Below are 14,235 nucleotides of genomic sequence, written 5' to 3'. Positions count from 1 at the left end.
AGGACTATGCTGACTGTGCTGAAATGTGACATGCAAGGGCACTGCTCTGAATGTGAAGAAGTTAGGGGAACTCTTCACCTGTTCATGTTGCCTTATCTGTGTGTGTACAAGAGTAACATATGATAGGCCAGGCGCAGTGGCTCACGCCTGTAATCCCAGCACTTTGGAAGGCCAAGGCGGGTGGATCACGAGGTCAGGAGACTGAGACCATCCTGGCTAACACGGTGAAACCCCGTCTCTACTAACAATACAGAAAAAATTAGCCAGGCGTGGTGGCGGGTACCTGTAGTCCTAGCTACTCGGGAGGCTGAGGCAGGAGAATGGCGTGAACCTGGGAGGCAGAGCTTGCAGTGAGCTGAGATCGCACCACTGCACTCCATCCTGGGCAATAGAGCAAGACTCCATCTCAAAACAAAAAGAAAAGAGAAAAAAAAAAAGAGTAACATATGATAAAGACCTAAGTCTAACTGAGGTTAAAAGCTGTCTTCTAGCTGGGTGTGGTGGCTCACGCCTGTAATCCCAGCACTTTGGGAGGCTGAGGCAGGAGGATCACAAGGTCAGGAGTTGGAGACCAGCCTTACCAACATGGTGAAACCCCGTCTCTACTAAAAATAGAAAAATTAGCCAGGCATGGTGACATGCACCTGTAATACCAGCTCCTCAGGAGGCTGAGGCAGGAGAATCACTTGAACCCGGGAGGTGGAGGTTGTGGTGAGCTGAGATCACACCACTGCACTCCAGCCTGGGTGACAGAGCAAGAGTCCATCTCAAAAAAAAAAAAAAAAAAAAAAAGAAAAAAGAGAAAAAGCTCTCTTCTAATAAGTCTACAGTAAAAATGCTAAGTGATGAACAGAGTTTCATTGGTAACACTTTTTCGTTCTTAAGGACATAAAATAATGGGGTATCTGACCATCAGTGTGGTCTTAGATTTGATGAAATATGGTACATATGTGAACTGGTCTGTGTGCACACATCTAATTTGGTATGGTACACATGGGTGCGTGTATCTACACAAACACACCTGTGTTACACATGCCGATGACTAAACATGCACAGGTATATGCTTGTGTGTGGGTACCCGTATTATATGTGTGCACGCATGTGCATGTGTGTGGGTACCTGTGTTGTATGTGTGTACACATGTGCATGTATGTGGATGTTTAACAGCAATATACTACTACCTGTGGTCTGAGCTCTCTGCCTTCCCCAGCCCTCTGGGGCTGACCCTCGCAGTAGCCAGAGCTGGGTCTGGTTTACCCTGGGTTGGGACACTAAGACCTCACCAAGATGCCATGCTCAGGTGTGCACACACAGACAAGTTCACATGTGTGCCATATTTCATCAAATCTAAGGCTCCATGATGGTCAGATACCCCATGATTTTATGCCACATACCACATTGGTAGGCCCTGCCTCCGAGGTCACTAGTGAGGTGTTTAAGGTCTTGGAGGATGAGGCTGCTCTCAGGGGAGTGGAAGGAAAGTGCTGAGTCTCCCGACTTCTTTCTCAGCTGCTGCAGGCTCAGCTGCTCCATCTTCCCTCTCTGCCAAGCTCATGATCATGCCCTATATTTTAAAGGGCTGGTGTGGGTTCCAAGTGAGCACTTTTAGCTGCCTTTTAATCAGCACACCTCTTAAAGGGTGACTGTCTCTGGAGCTCCTGGAGCCTACAGGCTGGTCTGGGTGGTGCTCCAGGGATCCAGCTGCTCAGCCCACCTCATGCCCAGGCTGCATGTGCAGAGTGGCACCAGGGTGCACAGGGATGGACCCACCCAGCCCAAAAGAGTCCCTCTCACAAGCCCACAATGCTCAGCATTTATCCCCCACAACCTATTTGTGAAACGCAGCAGCCTCGATGTCCCAGGCTGGCAGCTTGTGTGTAAACAGAGGCAGTGTGGAGGCCTGTGAAGGTCGAGCTCTGCCACGTCTCACCACTGCATGGTCTTACCTCTTGGAGCTCGACCCTGCTCATCTGTGGGTGTGGAGGAAACATAGCTTGCAGAGGCAGGAGAGTGGAGGGGAAAAACAGATGTCAAGGCTTTGAAACCAGGCCTGGCCCATAGCATGTGCTTGATCAATGGCATCTGTTAGTTTAAAACTTATTTCAGCCAGGCACAATGGCTCATGCCTATAATACCAGCACTTTGGGAGGCTGAGGCAGGAGGATTGTTTGAGCTCAGGAATTCAAGACCAGTCTGAGCAACGTAGTGAGACCTTGTCTATTTTTTAAAAAAAAAAATAAAAATTAGCTGGGCACAGTCAGCCATGCCTATAGTCCCAGCTACTTGGGAGGCTGAGGCAGGAGGATCACTTGAGCCCAGGAGGTCGAGGCTACAGTGAGCCATGATCGCACCACTGCACTCCAGCCTGGGTGACAAAGCAAGACCCTACCTCTAAAAAGTGTGTGTGTGTGTGTGTGTGTGTGTGTGTGTGTGTGTGTGTGTGTATTTGTGGAGTGAGATGCTGTCCACGAAAGCAAAAGTGTTGTGTGAACCATAAAACTCTCTTTGCAGGAGGGTGCTCACTACCACATATCTCTCACACCAAGATTCCCAGCACATCATTCTCTGCCCAGTGGGTTTGCTTTGAAAATTCCTGTGTGTGGCAATTGGAACTAATACCATAGGTCAGGGGGTCTCAGTGGACAATTTGATGTGGATGATCTCAGTTGGGGGAGCTGTTCTGTGCATTCTAAGATGTTTAGTGGAATCCCTGGCCTCTACCAACTAGATGCCGGTAGCACCCCATCCCCTCTAGCTGTGATAACCAAAAATATCTCCAGACATTACCAAATGTCCCTGGTTAAGAACTACTGCTTGGGTGGGTGCCATGGCTCATACCTGTAATCCCAGCACTCTGGGGGGCCAAGGCAGGAGGATTGCTTGAGGCCAGGAGTTCAAGACCAGCTTGGGTAATATAGTAAGACCCTGTCTCTACTAAAAATTAAAAAAAAAAGAAGAAGAAGAAGAAAATTAGGCAAGCATGGTGGTACTCACCTGTGGTGCTTAGGAGACTGAGTCAGGAGGATCCCTTGAGCCCAGAAGGTTGAGGCTGCAGTGAGCCATGATTGCACCACTGCGCTCCTGCCTGGGTGACAAAGCAAGACACTGTCTTTAAAAAAAAAAAAAGGCTGGGCACCCTGGCTCACACCTGTAATCCCAGCACTTTGGGAGGCTGAGGCGGGCAGGTCACTTGAGGTCAGGTGTTCGAGACAAGCCTGGCCAACACAGCGAATCCCCATCACTACTAAAAATACAAAAATTACCTGGGTGTGGTGGCACGCCTGTAACCCCAGCTACTCAGGAGTCTGAGGCAGGAGAATCACTTGAACCTGCGAGACGGAGGTTGCAGTGAGCCGAGATCGCACCACTGCACTCCAGCCTGGGCAACAGTGAAACTCCGTCTCAAAAAAATAAAATAACTTTTAAATAAAATAAATATAATAAATAAAATAAACTTTAAAAAGAACTACTGCTTTACAGTGAATGAGTTTTTTTACTTTTCACAAAAGCAGTTTTGGGGAAGAGACATAAAAGAAGAGAAAAAGACCAAAAAGAGAGGAAAGAAGAGGATTGTCTGCTTCGTGTCAAGGAGGATGAGCTCCTTAGAGTTTCATCTACCCAAAAGGAGAATGTCTGGCAAAGCCACACTCTCCGTCAGCAGGAAAGCAGTTTTTGTGGTGTTCCAAACCAGGCTTTATGATGGATGTGTAATGCATGTCAAGGGCAAACAAACAAAATGCCACCCTTCCAGGCTGAGGCCACCAAGGCCCTGATCTGACAGCCAACTGCGCCAAAACCTCCCAGGTCTAAAACAGGCACCAAGCTCTTCTATACAGGCCATCTGAGCAGGCCCCAGGCTCAGAAAGGGGCTCTGAGGCAGGTCAGAGCTGGTAGGACCCTACAATTGGCAGAGGTGCTAGCCAGTGTTGTCCCGGCAACCACCCCAACATCTATGTATTGTCAGCCAGGTGGGGCAGGGTGGGGAGTGGAGGTGGACCAGGCACCTATCATCCAGACAGGCTGGCTGCCAAGAGGGTTTCTAGAGGAAACAGACTGGAAGCTTCTGGCTGCAACCTGGCTGGAAGGAAATGATGAAAGGGCCTCTCTGTCTCTCTTCTCACCCTCCCTGTGCTCCAGTTCCAGGCCCTAGGAGGTTCCCCAATATCCCCATGTCCAAAGAGGTCCTCGCCCCAGAGAACTGGTCCATCACCCCTGGGCCAGGAGAGGACCCTGGGAACCTGCAGATCCACCTTGGATGCCACCACGGGGAGCTGTTCTCATGCCTCTTCTTTACGCCACAGTCCATACTGCTGCCTTGCCAGCCATCCCGCCACACCTAGATGCCAGGGAGGTCTCTGCAGGCTTCTGTCACCTGTTGCCACACACTTGGGTCTCCTTCCTCAACCCTACCCCCACAACCTTGCTGTGCTGTCTGCCGCCCTGGCCCACATGCCCTCCCCTCTCCAAATTGCCCTCTCCCCCAGGGCAGGCTCAGCAATGAGCCCCTGTAGACAGCCCTCCTCTCTCCACAACCCCACAGGGACAGCACCCCCTCTAAGCTCCTTGGTACTGGTACCATTCTCAGTGGTTCCCTGATTATTCCATAGGACTAAGGCTTGTTTTTGCAGCCAGACCAAAACTTCCACGATGGGAGTCTGTCTGTGATACAAGGCACACAACACGTACTCACTAAATGCTGAAAACAACTACCCCTTTATGCTTCAAAGTGCTCAAATGGTTCTCTAGTCCTGAGATTTGAAGAAGTCTTAAGGAAGATGACCCAGTATAGATGTGCAAACAGGCACAGAAAAAGACAGCGCCCAGCAGCGTGTGCGACAAGGCTGAGCGGGGAGCCCGGTCGCATCATCTGAAGCTGCAGGAATATCCATAGCACCTCCCCAGGTCAATGCAAAAGACATATAGGAGGCAGGGCCACCCAGACTGTCCCTCCAGCTGCCCCTGACAGCAGTGCCCAGGGCCTTGTCAGATAACTTTGGGTGCTTCACTAATGGCTTCTGCCCCCTCCTCCCTGGGTTGAGAGCACAATGGGACCATCCATCCCAGGAACCAGATCTCCTCCCTCTGGTCCCGCCAGCCCAGACCTGGCCCCGGAAATCAGGATCAGAAATGGTCACAGCAGACAGGTGTTCCAAGGGGAATGCAAAGGCAAGCTGTTATTACTGGCCCCATGGAAATCCCCTAAGGCAATTCGAGCGTCAAGCATCCCAGCCAAATAAAAGCTTCCACACAATGGACAGGATGAGCTGCTGGTCCCCAGGGAGGCAGACTGTCGGTCCCCATCTGCTCTCCTTCCCTTGCTGGGAAGTTTGACTGTCCGTCCTCTGCACCTGTTCGGGGGAAGCCAGAACCCCACACCGCCCATGTACCCGCGATGGCAGCAGCAGGTCTGCAAGGTCATGGCTCCTTTAAGCCGCAGTCCATCTCAATGCTGTGAGCCTCTCTCCCCAAGAGGAACTGGGCTTCCCTCAGGGGAAGCTCTGCCTCAGCTGTGCCCCTCACCCATCGCAGGCCCTTTCTGTTCCCACATTCACAGGGCAACCCAGCAGTGAGCAGAAGACCTAGCCTCTAGCGGCCTTCCAGAACCTCTGGGAAGATCATTACTCTCCTCTCTCCTCACCCACTTTCTGGCAGATTGTGGGGAGAAGGAAGGTAGGACCAAGACTATCCAAACAGCAGTCACCAAGGCAGGCCCTCGGGGCCCAGTCTTCAGTGGAAACTGACAATGTTCCCCGGCCACAGCTTTGAGTCATGCATGAGTCAGAGGTCAAGGGTCAAAAGTCAGAATGTGTTAATTTGGCCAAGAAGGTTAGAATGGGTTACTGAGCCTGCCTTCCTCCAACAGTAAAGTCCTAGGGACGTCAGGGGAACACCAGAGAAGGATAAGTGGGCAGCTGGCCTCCACATCATGAACATCAAGGGCTCAGAGAGAACTTCCCACCCACTCCTGCCACCATCCACGTGGTCTCTTATAACTCCAGATTGGAGGGCTTCCTACCCCCTTCTGAATGCATCACGTTTCAGGCCAGGCCAGCCCTGGAATGCCAAGTTTCAAAAGTACACTTTGCCCAATAGAAAGAAACATCTCACTTATAGCCCATCAAAAGACCTCTTCTGGTTTCCAAGGGAAGCTCCCAAATTCTGCTTGGGGAACAAGCTCCCATCTACTCTCCCCACTACCTTCCAAACTTCGCTGCCTTCAGCTCTCCACCTCAGCAGTGGGTTTCATTGTTTTTCCCATAGCCCCAAAGAGTATCCCCTCCACCCTCACCCCCATCATTTGAGCTGACCCTCTTAGAGCCCTTATCAGGGGCTCAGACCAGGCCACTCAGTGGGTCTGGAAGGGGCCTCGCTGAGGGCACACAGTGCCCAGAAACCATGCATGTGGAGCCCCTCACCAAGCAGAGACTGTAGGAGCTGGCACAGGTCATGGCCCCTCCAGGACATACATGCATACAAGCACTCCCTCTCCTGGGGTCCTGTTCCCAGCCTGTGTGAGGGCCCATTTGGAACCCCAGCATTAGGATACAGATCAGTGTAAGCTGAAGACATCTGAAAGCCAACAGATGCAGAAAGAAGCCTTCTCAGCTTTCCTTAAAAGCAGCAGCATCTGGGAAAAGAGGTTGTCAGAAATCCCCTTAAGGGAATTTCACGGTCATAAAGACAGAAATACCACTTGACCCTGCTTAAGTAAGCATTATCACAAACTTCATCTCCCGTTAGTTCTCCTAAAAACCCACTTGTCTTTCCTAAAGAAACCTTTCTCCCTTCCCCTTTCTCTCCCTATTAAGCTAAGAATATAAGCCCCCAGGTTTTGTTTCTTTTTTTTTTTTTTTTTTTTTTTTTTGAGACTGCAGTCTCCCTCTGTGGCCCAGGCTGGAGTGCAATGGCCCGATCTCGGCTCACTGCAACCTCCGCCTCCCAGGTTCAAGCAATTCTCCTGCCTCAGCCTCCCGAGCAGCTGGAACTACAGGCGCACCACCACACCCAGCTAATTTTTGTATTTTTAGTAAAGACGGGGTTTCGCCATATTGGTCAGGCTGGTCTCAAACTCCTGACCTTAGGTGATACACCTGCCTCAGCCTCCCAAAGTACTGGATTACATGCGTGAGCCACTGTACCTGGCCAAACCCCCAGTTTTCACCACCCCTTTGAGGTACTCATCATGGAGCACCCCTATATACAAGGAACTGGCAAATCAACTCTTTTCTCCTGCCAGTCCATCTCTTTCAGTTTAACTCACAAGCCCTCCAGTACTGAACATAAGAGGGTGGAGAAAAGTTTTTCTACCATAACAGCTGGGTCACCAGCCACGGACAGCACCAGCTGGCACCAGGCCTGGGGAAGAGGGTGAGCTCTGGAGTGGACACAGTGGTGCTCAGATCCCAGCCCCACGGCCTACCAGAGGGCAGACTAGCAAGTTACAGCCTGTCTCTGCACGCCAGTTTCTATGTAAGGACATTGAGGCTACTCAGACCTCTCACAGGGTTATGGGGAGACTTAAATAAATGAGGTCGAGTCTACAAAGAGTCTGGCTCCCAGTGGTTGCTCAAAAACAATACTAATAATTTCTACAATGATATTCTTTTTTTTTAATTCTAGAGACAGGGTCTTATTCTGTTGGCCAGGGTGGAGTGCAGCGGCACAATCATAGCTCACTGCAGCCTTGAACTCCTGGGCTCCAGCGATCCTCCCACCTCAACCTCCTGAGTAGCTGGGACTACAGGTGTGCACCACCTTGCTTGGCTAATTTTTTAAATTTTTTTGTAGAAATGGGGACTTGCTATGCCCAGGCTTGTCTTGAACTCCTGGCCTCAAGCAATCCTCCTGTCTTGGACTCCCAAAGTGCTAGGATTATAGGTGTGAGTCACGGCACCCAGCTTGCAATTATATCTTGTGCAGTGGTCTGCAGACACACAGCAGTATAAGCTCAGAGGGCAGGGACTGTGTTTTCTCTTCCTTTTGTGTCCCCCACTGTGGAAGCCATTCTTCCTGTCCGCATGCTTTGCTGCTTGCCTTCTGGGCACAGGTCCTGCTCCAACTCACCCCCATACACAGCGGCAAGCTGTGACCCAGCAGACCCAAACCAACCTTCTAGTCACAGCAATTAATACAGGGATAGCCTCATGTCCCACCCTAGCCAGTCTTCCCTAGGAGGGCAAGAAAGAGACCTTTGGCATTTGGGTCCTAAGTGTGAGGACCTGGGTTGTTCCTGTTTCCCATCATGGGAGAAAGCCCATCTGCTGCTGGGTTCCACTGACAAGCACAGGCCAGCAGAGTAGGGGACGGTGCCCTAATGGGCCTGAAGCCCTCATCCTGTGGCCCCTGGGGCTCCTGCCCCACTGGCTCTGTGGGCATGTCAGCAGCTCCCTGCCAATACACCCCTCTTTGGCTTCAGCTAGTGTGAGCTGGATCTGTCACCTGCAACCACAAGAACCCTGACCCCCACCCCACCCCACCCAATACCTCATCCCACAGAGGGCCCACAGAGGTAGCACAGCACCCAGCTCTGAACAAATGAATGGATGTTAGCCAAGGCTGGCAGTGAAGCCAGCTGGGGAGCAGGGCTCCAGCAAGCCTGATCCACCCTCCAGAACCTGCCGACACCTCAGTCCAACCAAGAGTTAAGAAGCCAAGCAACAGAATTCATGGAGGTCCCCCAGGGTACCTCTGAAAGAGTTTCTCTGAAAGATGAGAGAAAGAATGGAGCAGATCACCCAAGACAACTTTGTGGTCCCCCTCAGAAAACTCACCCCCGCCACTGCCCTGGGCACTCTCACTCTCCTAACCCCAGCCAGAATCCTGGAAGTGAGGAGCAGGTGGCAGAACAGAGTTGCAGAAGAGACAGAATCCCACCACACTGCTGTGTAGGGCTGTAACCCAGTCCAATCCAGGGCTGTAGCCTGGGAGATGCTGCCACTCCGCTAGTTCCGGGAATGAGGGCAGAGATTTTTAAGGAGGACAAGTCATCAGACTCCTCACACCTGGTCAGGCCTCAAACCAGAGAATAAAAACTTGTGCTTCAATGGAAGACAGGCACTGCCACCGCGTGTCTTTCCCCCTTATCGGAATCGGATGCAGAGAAAGTGCCCTTACAGCAGAGAGCACCATGGGTCACTAAGAGCAACGCAAAATTCCTGTCTGCACGCAGGCAGGTTCCATCTTCTCTGGCAGAGGCTAAACAGCCTTCCCTCCCACCCTACACAACATCAATTTTGTCTCCTTTTGCACATTCATTATAAAATTCCTAATCTATAATGTTTCTGTCCTTGGGTTCTCTTTTGAACGAGTTATAACATCTGCCTGGTTCCCTCATTAATGTGGAGTCAAATCTTTAACATATGTTCATTTTTATTTCTCTATGAGAGTCATGAGTTTACCTTTTCCTGAAAATTATCTTTTAACAAAGTGAAGGATTCTGGGGCTGCAATAGGGCTTGGCTTACAGTCCTGGGGTCTTCAGCCCCAGTTTTGGGCCGTGGGACCCAGGTTCCTACCACTCTTGGGCATCCTGAGGTCTCCCCTACCCCTTTCCCCTTTCCTGCCCTTCCTCTTGTCCCCCACCTGCTGGCTCCAGGGGCCAAACCTGGCTCTCAGCGTGGCCTCCTACTAATGGGATCGGTCCCCAGCTACGGCCTCAGGCTGGGCCTGTGATTTGCAGAGTCTGGGTGGGCGGTCAAGTGTTCCAGCATGGTGGGTGTGTTCAGATTCATAGGCGTCCTCTCCCTCCCCTCCCTCTCTCTTTCTCAAACAACTCCATGTGGTAGCCTTTGCCCTTTGTGTCCAAAACCACATGCTAGGCTCCTGGGATGGAAGAAGTGTCCACACACAGGGGCGGCCAGGGACAGACTTTCTAGCCCCCCACCCGCTCCCTGGGCTCCTGTCATTGGAGCTGATCTCTGCTCCTGCTCTTTTATTGATATTGACACTGCAGACAGAACTCTGCTGCTCTCTCCTGCTGCCATCTCAATGGGTGCCGGCCACCCGCTTCTCTCGTGGATACCATTCGCCTCCACGTTTACCAATCACCTCTCAGGTCTCAGACCCTGTGCTGTGTGTGCTGTTGGGGTTCCTAAAAAGAAAAAGCCCCTCCCCTCAGGGAACTCACTTTCCCAAACTCAGGCGAGGAACAACTTATACACGCAAAAACAAACAATGTAACAATACTAATGACAGAAAACATTACTTGAGTACCCACTATGTGCCAGGCATGTGCTAGATACCCTGGATACTAAATCTTCACAAACCCAAGAGCAGACACTATCATGAAAAAGCAGAGGCTCTAAGGGGCTAAACTGTAGCAGACACAAACTGGGGTGACTGGCCAGCTCAGAACAATTTCTCCAGCGGCCATGGCTGTGTCTAACTGCTCTCCAGCCTTGGAGCACTGATGCTCTCCCTCTCTAACGTGTAGTGATCATCCCAAAGAGTGGCACGTGACCCAGGTTAGGCCAATCAGAGTCCTGCTTCGGGAGATTTTGCCTGGGAACCAGAGGGGAAACTCCTTTTGTCTCCAGCCATGGATGGGGATAGGAGTCAGCGTTGTGTTGTCAGTGGCCAGAATGTCTGGTAGAGAAGTCGGTCAGAGAGAATCAGCATGTCACAGACAGAGAAGCGAACCTGAAAACTTCCTCTAGTTCCAATTACTCTTATAACTGGCTCCAACCTGTCCCTCCCCCAATTTGACCCACGAAAGAAATTACCGCTTTTGTCTTCATCTAGATTGAGTTGGGTTTTCATCATTTGCATCCTATGGATCCCTGAGCAACACAGGTCCCCTGCCCAAGGTCCCAGAGACATTAAGGGGCTGTCCCCCTAGTGACCACCTCGTCAAAGGTGCAGCCAGATTATGGACCCAGGCAGCGCCCTACCAATGTTTCCAAGGGGACTGACATGACGTGGGGTTGACATTTCTCCCCATCAACTGTCCCGTTCCCAGAAATGCATGACCAGTCACTTCACGAAGGTCACATTATTATCACCAACCACCACCCACTGACAGCGCATGCTCTGCATGGCCATGCTGTGCACCATGCGCTCATTTCATCCTCCCCAAAACCTCTGGTAGTAAGTACTGTTAATGCTGCTTTCAAAGTGCAGAAGAGACACACCAGAGGGTTCGTAACTCGCCCCCAAAGTCACAAAGACAGGAAGGGGCCGAGTCAGACTGTGTGCTCTTGGCCGATTCACTAATATTCCTCTTAGTGCCGTAGCACAATCAATTGCACATCTCTTACAGCCTCCCAGCACTGCCCATGTTAGACTGAGGATAAGGTGATTCTATCCCGGCCTTGGCATACTGCAGTCATCTTTCGGTCTGTATGATCATACAGCTAGCCAGCCTCTTTATCCTCTCCAGACAGGCCTAGGGGCAGAGGGCCCTAACATCAAGGCCAGTGAGGGCCCATGCAGGGGCTGGAAGCTTTGGCCTTCAAAAGAGGCCTCACTCAAATTCTTCAGGACCCACCACGTACATATCTTCTTTCTCAGCTCTGGTGTTCCAGATGAATGTTTATGATGAGCCATTAACCTGGTCACCTTGCAGAGGCTCAGAGGTGAAGGGCACCTGCCCTGTTGCCTCCTGTTGACGTGGCATTTTCCCTTGTGCACCACTGCCCACCTCCCCCAGGCCTGGACTGCACAGTGTCCCATGCTGAGCTGGGGTCTATCCCAATGGGTCACCTGCCTCCGGTACTACACTTCATAGGGGAGGGCTGAGGGTCCGGCCCCCATCCCCAGCATCTGGCCCCTGCCTGCACTATTTCTACCTTGGGTCTCACCTCACCCAGACAGGTCCCCATCCTTTCCCAGAACCACACAGCCACAGGCACCCTGACAAAGGCCATATGCTCTCACCCTCCTTTCCCTCCTGCTCTTCCTTGTCTCTGCCCCTTTAGCCCAGGGATGCTCACTTGGGGCCACCTGTGGCCTATAGTGTATTTTGTTTGGCATCCACAGTGGGTTTCTCTTTTAACATTTAAAAACTGGAAATGTAGGCTGGGCGCGGTGGCTCACGCCTGTAATCCCAGCACTTTGGGAGGCTGAGGCGGGCGGATCACGAGGTCAGGAGATCCAGACCATCCTGGCTAACACAGTGAAATCCCGTCTCTACTAAAAATACAAAAAATTAGCCGGGCATGGTGGCAGGTGCCTGTAGTCCCAGCTACTTGGGAGGCTGAGGCAGGAGAATGGCGTGAACCCGGGAGATGGAGCTTGCAGTGAGCCGAGATTGTGCCATTGCACTCCGACCTGAGTGACAGAGCCAGACTCCGTCTCAAAAAAAAAAAAAAAAAAAAAAACTGGAAATGTTCACTTAAATATCTGGATTAAAATTTTCCATAATGAAATTTTTTAAACACTTAAAAAAAAACTACATTTCTGACTTTTCTTGAAAAACTAGCTTTTCTGTGACGAGAGTCCTGTATCTCTGCAGGACAGCCACAGGCAGCAGCTAAGGGCACGGGCTCTCTGCTTCAATGCAGTCTTAGAATTTGCCCACATCCCTGATTTTCCTTGCCTGTCTGTGCACACCCAGGGCCAACGTCAGGGTCTCAGGACCCACTTCACATATTGACAGCTCCTCGGCCAGTCTCCCCAGCCTGGGGGTGGGCATTTTTTCCAGATGATGAGTCCCAGAAGAGTCCCTTCAACTCCAACACAAGCAAGGCTCCAGGCCACGCCTGACCCTGACTCTGAATGTGTCCAAGCCCAGAACCCACTGTCCACAGGCTCCAGCGCAGGAGGCCTGGTGGGTCACCTCAGCCCAGGTATGTACAGCTGGGATCAGGCCACAGCCTGGGACGCAAGTCAGGCCAATTCAGGCTCATTACACCATCGAACCTGGCTGCCAAGGGTGTGCCTTCTGGGCTAAGGAGCAAGCAATGACTTCCCCAAATCCACCTAAAAAATACCAGGCCCCAGAAACTTCCACTTGGATCAGCACTGGGGCCCAGTGGGGTGGGGTGGGGCCCACCCCACCCCACTCCCCCCAAGTCCTAGGACACATGGACACTCACGATATTCATGAGGGTGAGGACATAGTTCTGCACATGCTCCTTGCCATGGAAGCGAACCACCGAGTCGTCCACCACCAGCAGCACCTCGATGCTGTAGCTGCCTGGCTTGGCATGCCGCCGCTTCCGCTCTGTGTCGCCCAGCTGGTCCCCCACCAGGCCCAGCAGGTTGGGAAGGTCTCCCAGGCCAAAGGCTGGAACCAAGACAGGAAGAGAGTGAGGTCCAACCCACAGGAGGGGCTGTCACTGTGACATTGCCCACCACCCACCTCTGTCCCCATCACTGGTGCCCCTTTCCCTGCCTCTGTAAGTAAAGTAGTATGAGGGATTGCTCCATACTAGGTCAACTCATGGGCAAGAGCCATTTTCCTGCCATGAGGGCACTGCTAAATCTTTGAAGCAATGAGTAGCAAAGGGGTGAGAACTGGCCCAGAGCAGAAAGCCTGGGTTCCGGGAGCCACTCATCCTATCTCTGTGGGCGTCCCAGGCCCAATCCCTCGCTTCTCTGGCCTCCATTGTCTCTCTTATAACATGAAGATGAACCACCCTTTATCTCTAACCCACAAGGTTGCTGTAAAAATCAAAGTTGGCAATATCTCCATAAAGGAGAAAAGTCATGGGGCTACTGTGGCCTCCATAGGGCATCTGAGGAACTCCGGGATACTCCTGTGAGCACTGAGCCTCTCAAATCCCACCCAAGAACTGTCAGTGACCCCAGATTTCACCATCGCTGCTCTGCCCTTTTGGCTAAAAGCAAAATAGCATTTATTAACTTGTATTATATAATCCAAGAGTTACTAAACTTTTTCTGTAAAGGACCAGATAAATATTTTAGGCTCTGGGGGTCATTCATTCTCGGTCACAACCATTCGATTCTGCCACCGAAGCACAAAATCAGTCGCAGATGAGACTGTGAGTGAGTGTGTCTGTGTTCCAATCCAACTTCCTTTACAAGACAGCTGCCAGGCTATATCTGGCCCTGGGCCTTACCTTTACTGACCTCTAATCTAATCTAATGCAACCCAATCTAGTCTAATCTTTACAACAACTCTATCAGATTGTTGTCCCCATTACACAGGTGAACACATTGAAGTTCAAAGATGTTAAGTAGCTTCTCATGTGGGTCTGTCTGAATCAAAAGCCCATGCTTTGAAACATTACCATCTATGCCGCCACGTAGAAGGGTAACAACTTGAGCGCTGTCA

At 51.4% G+C, this 14,235-nt stretch overlaps 1 protein-coding gene across 9 annotated transcripts in view; it reads right to left on the bottom strand.

The window, feature by feature from the left end:
* The window catches only part of ADAMTS14 (ADAM metallopeptidase with thrombospondin type 1 motif 14), an 89,936-nt gene that overhangs the window by 40,630 nt on the left and 35,071 nt on the right, over positions 1 to 14,235 (bottom strand). For 8 of the 9 annotated variants that reach the window (XR_001747025.2, NM_139155.3, XM_011539300.3 and 5 more), the window contains exon 4: positions 13,034 to 13,224. Coding sequence is in view for 7 of the 9 variants with exons in the window: in NM_139155.3 (NP_631894.2) it covers positions 13,034 to 13,224 (191 nt within the window). In the remaining 2 variants the exon portion in view is untranslated. Of the gene's footprint in view, positions 1 to 2,994; positions 3,036 to 13,033; positions 13,225 to 14,235 lie in introns of those variants that run through there. The other variant, XM_011539302.2, reaches the window with a different exon arrangement.

This window comes from Homo sapiens, chromosome 10 (genome assembly GCF_000001405.40).
Source record: "Homo sapiens chromosome 10, GRCh38.p14 Primary Assembly".
Classification (NCBI taxonomy): Eukaryota; Metazoa; Chordata; class Mammalia; order Primates; family Hominidae; genus Homo; species Homo sapiens.
Note: the sequence above shows the minus strand (reverse complement) of the source record. Positions and strands in the feature narration are given on the sequence as shown.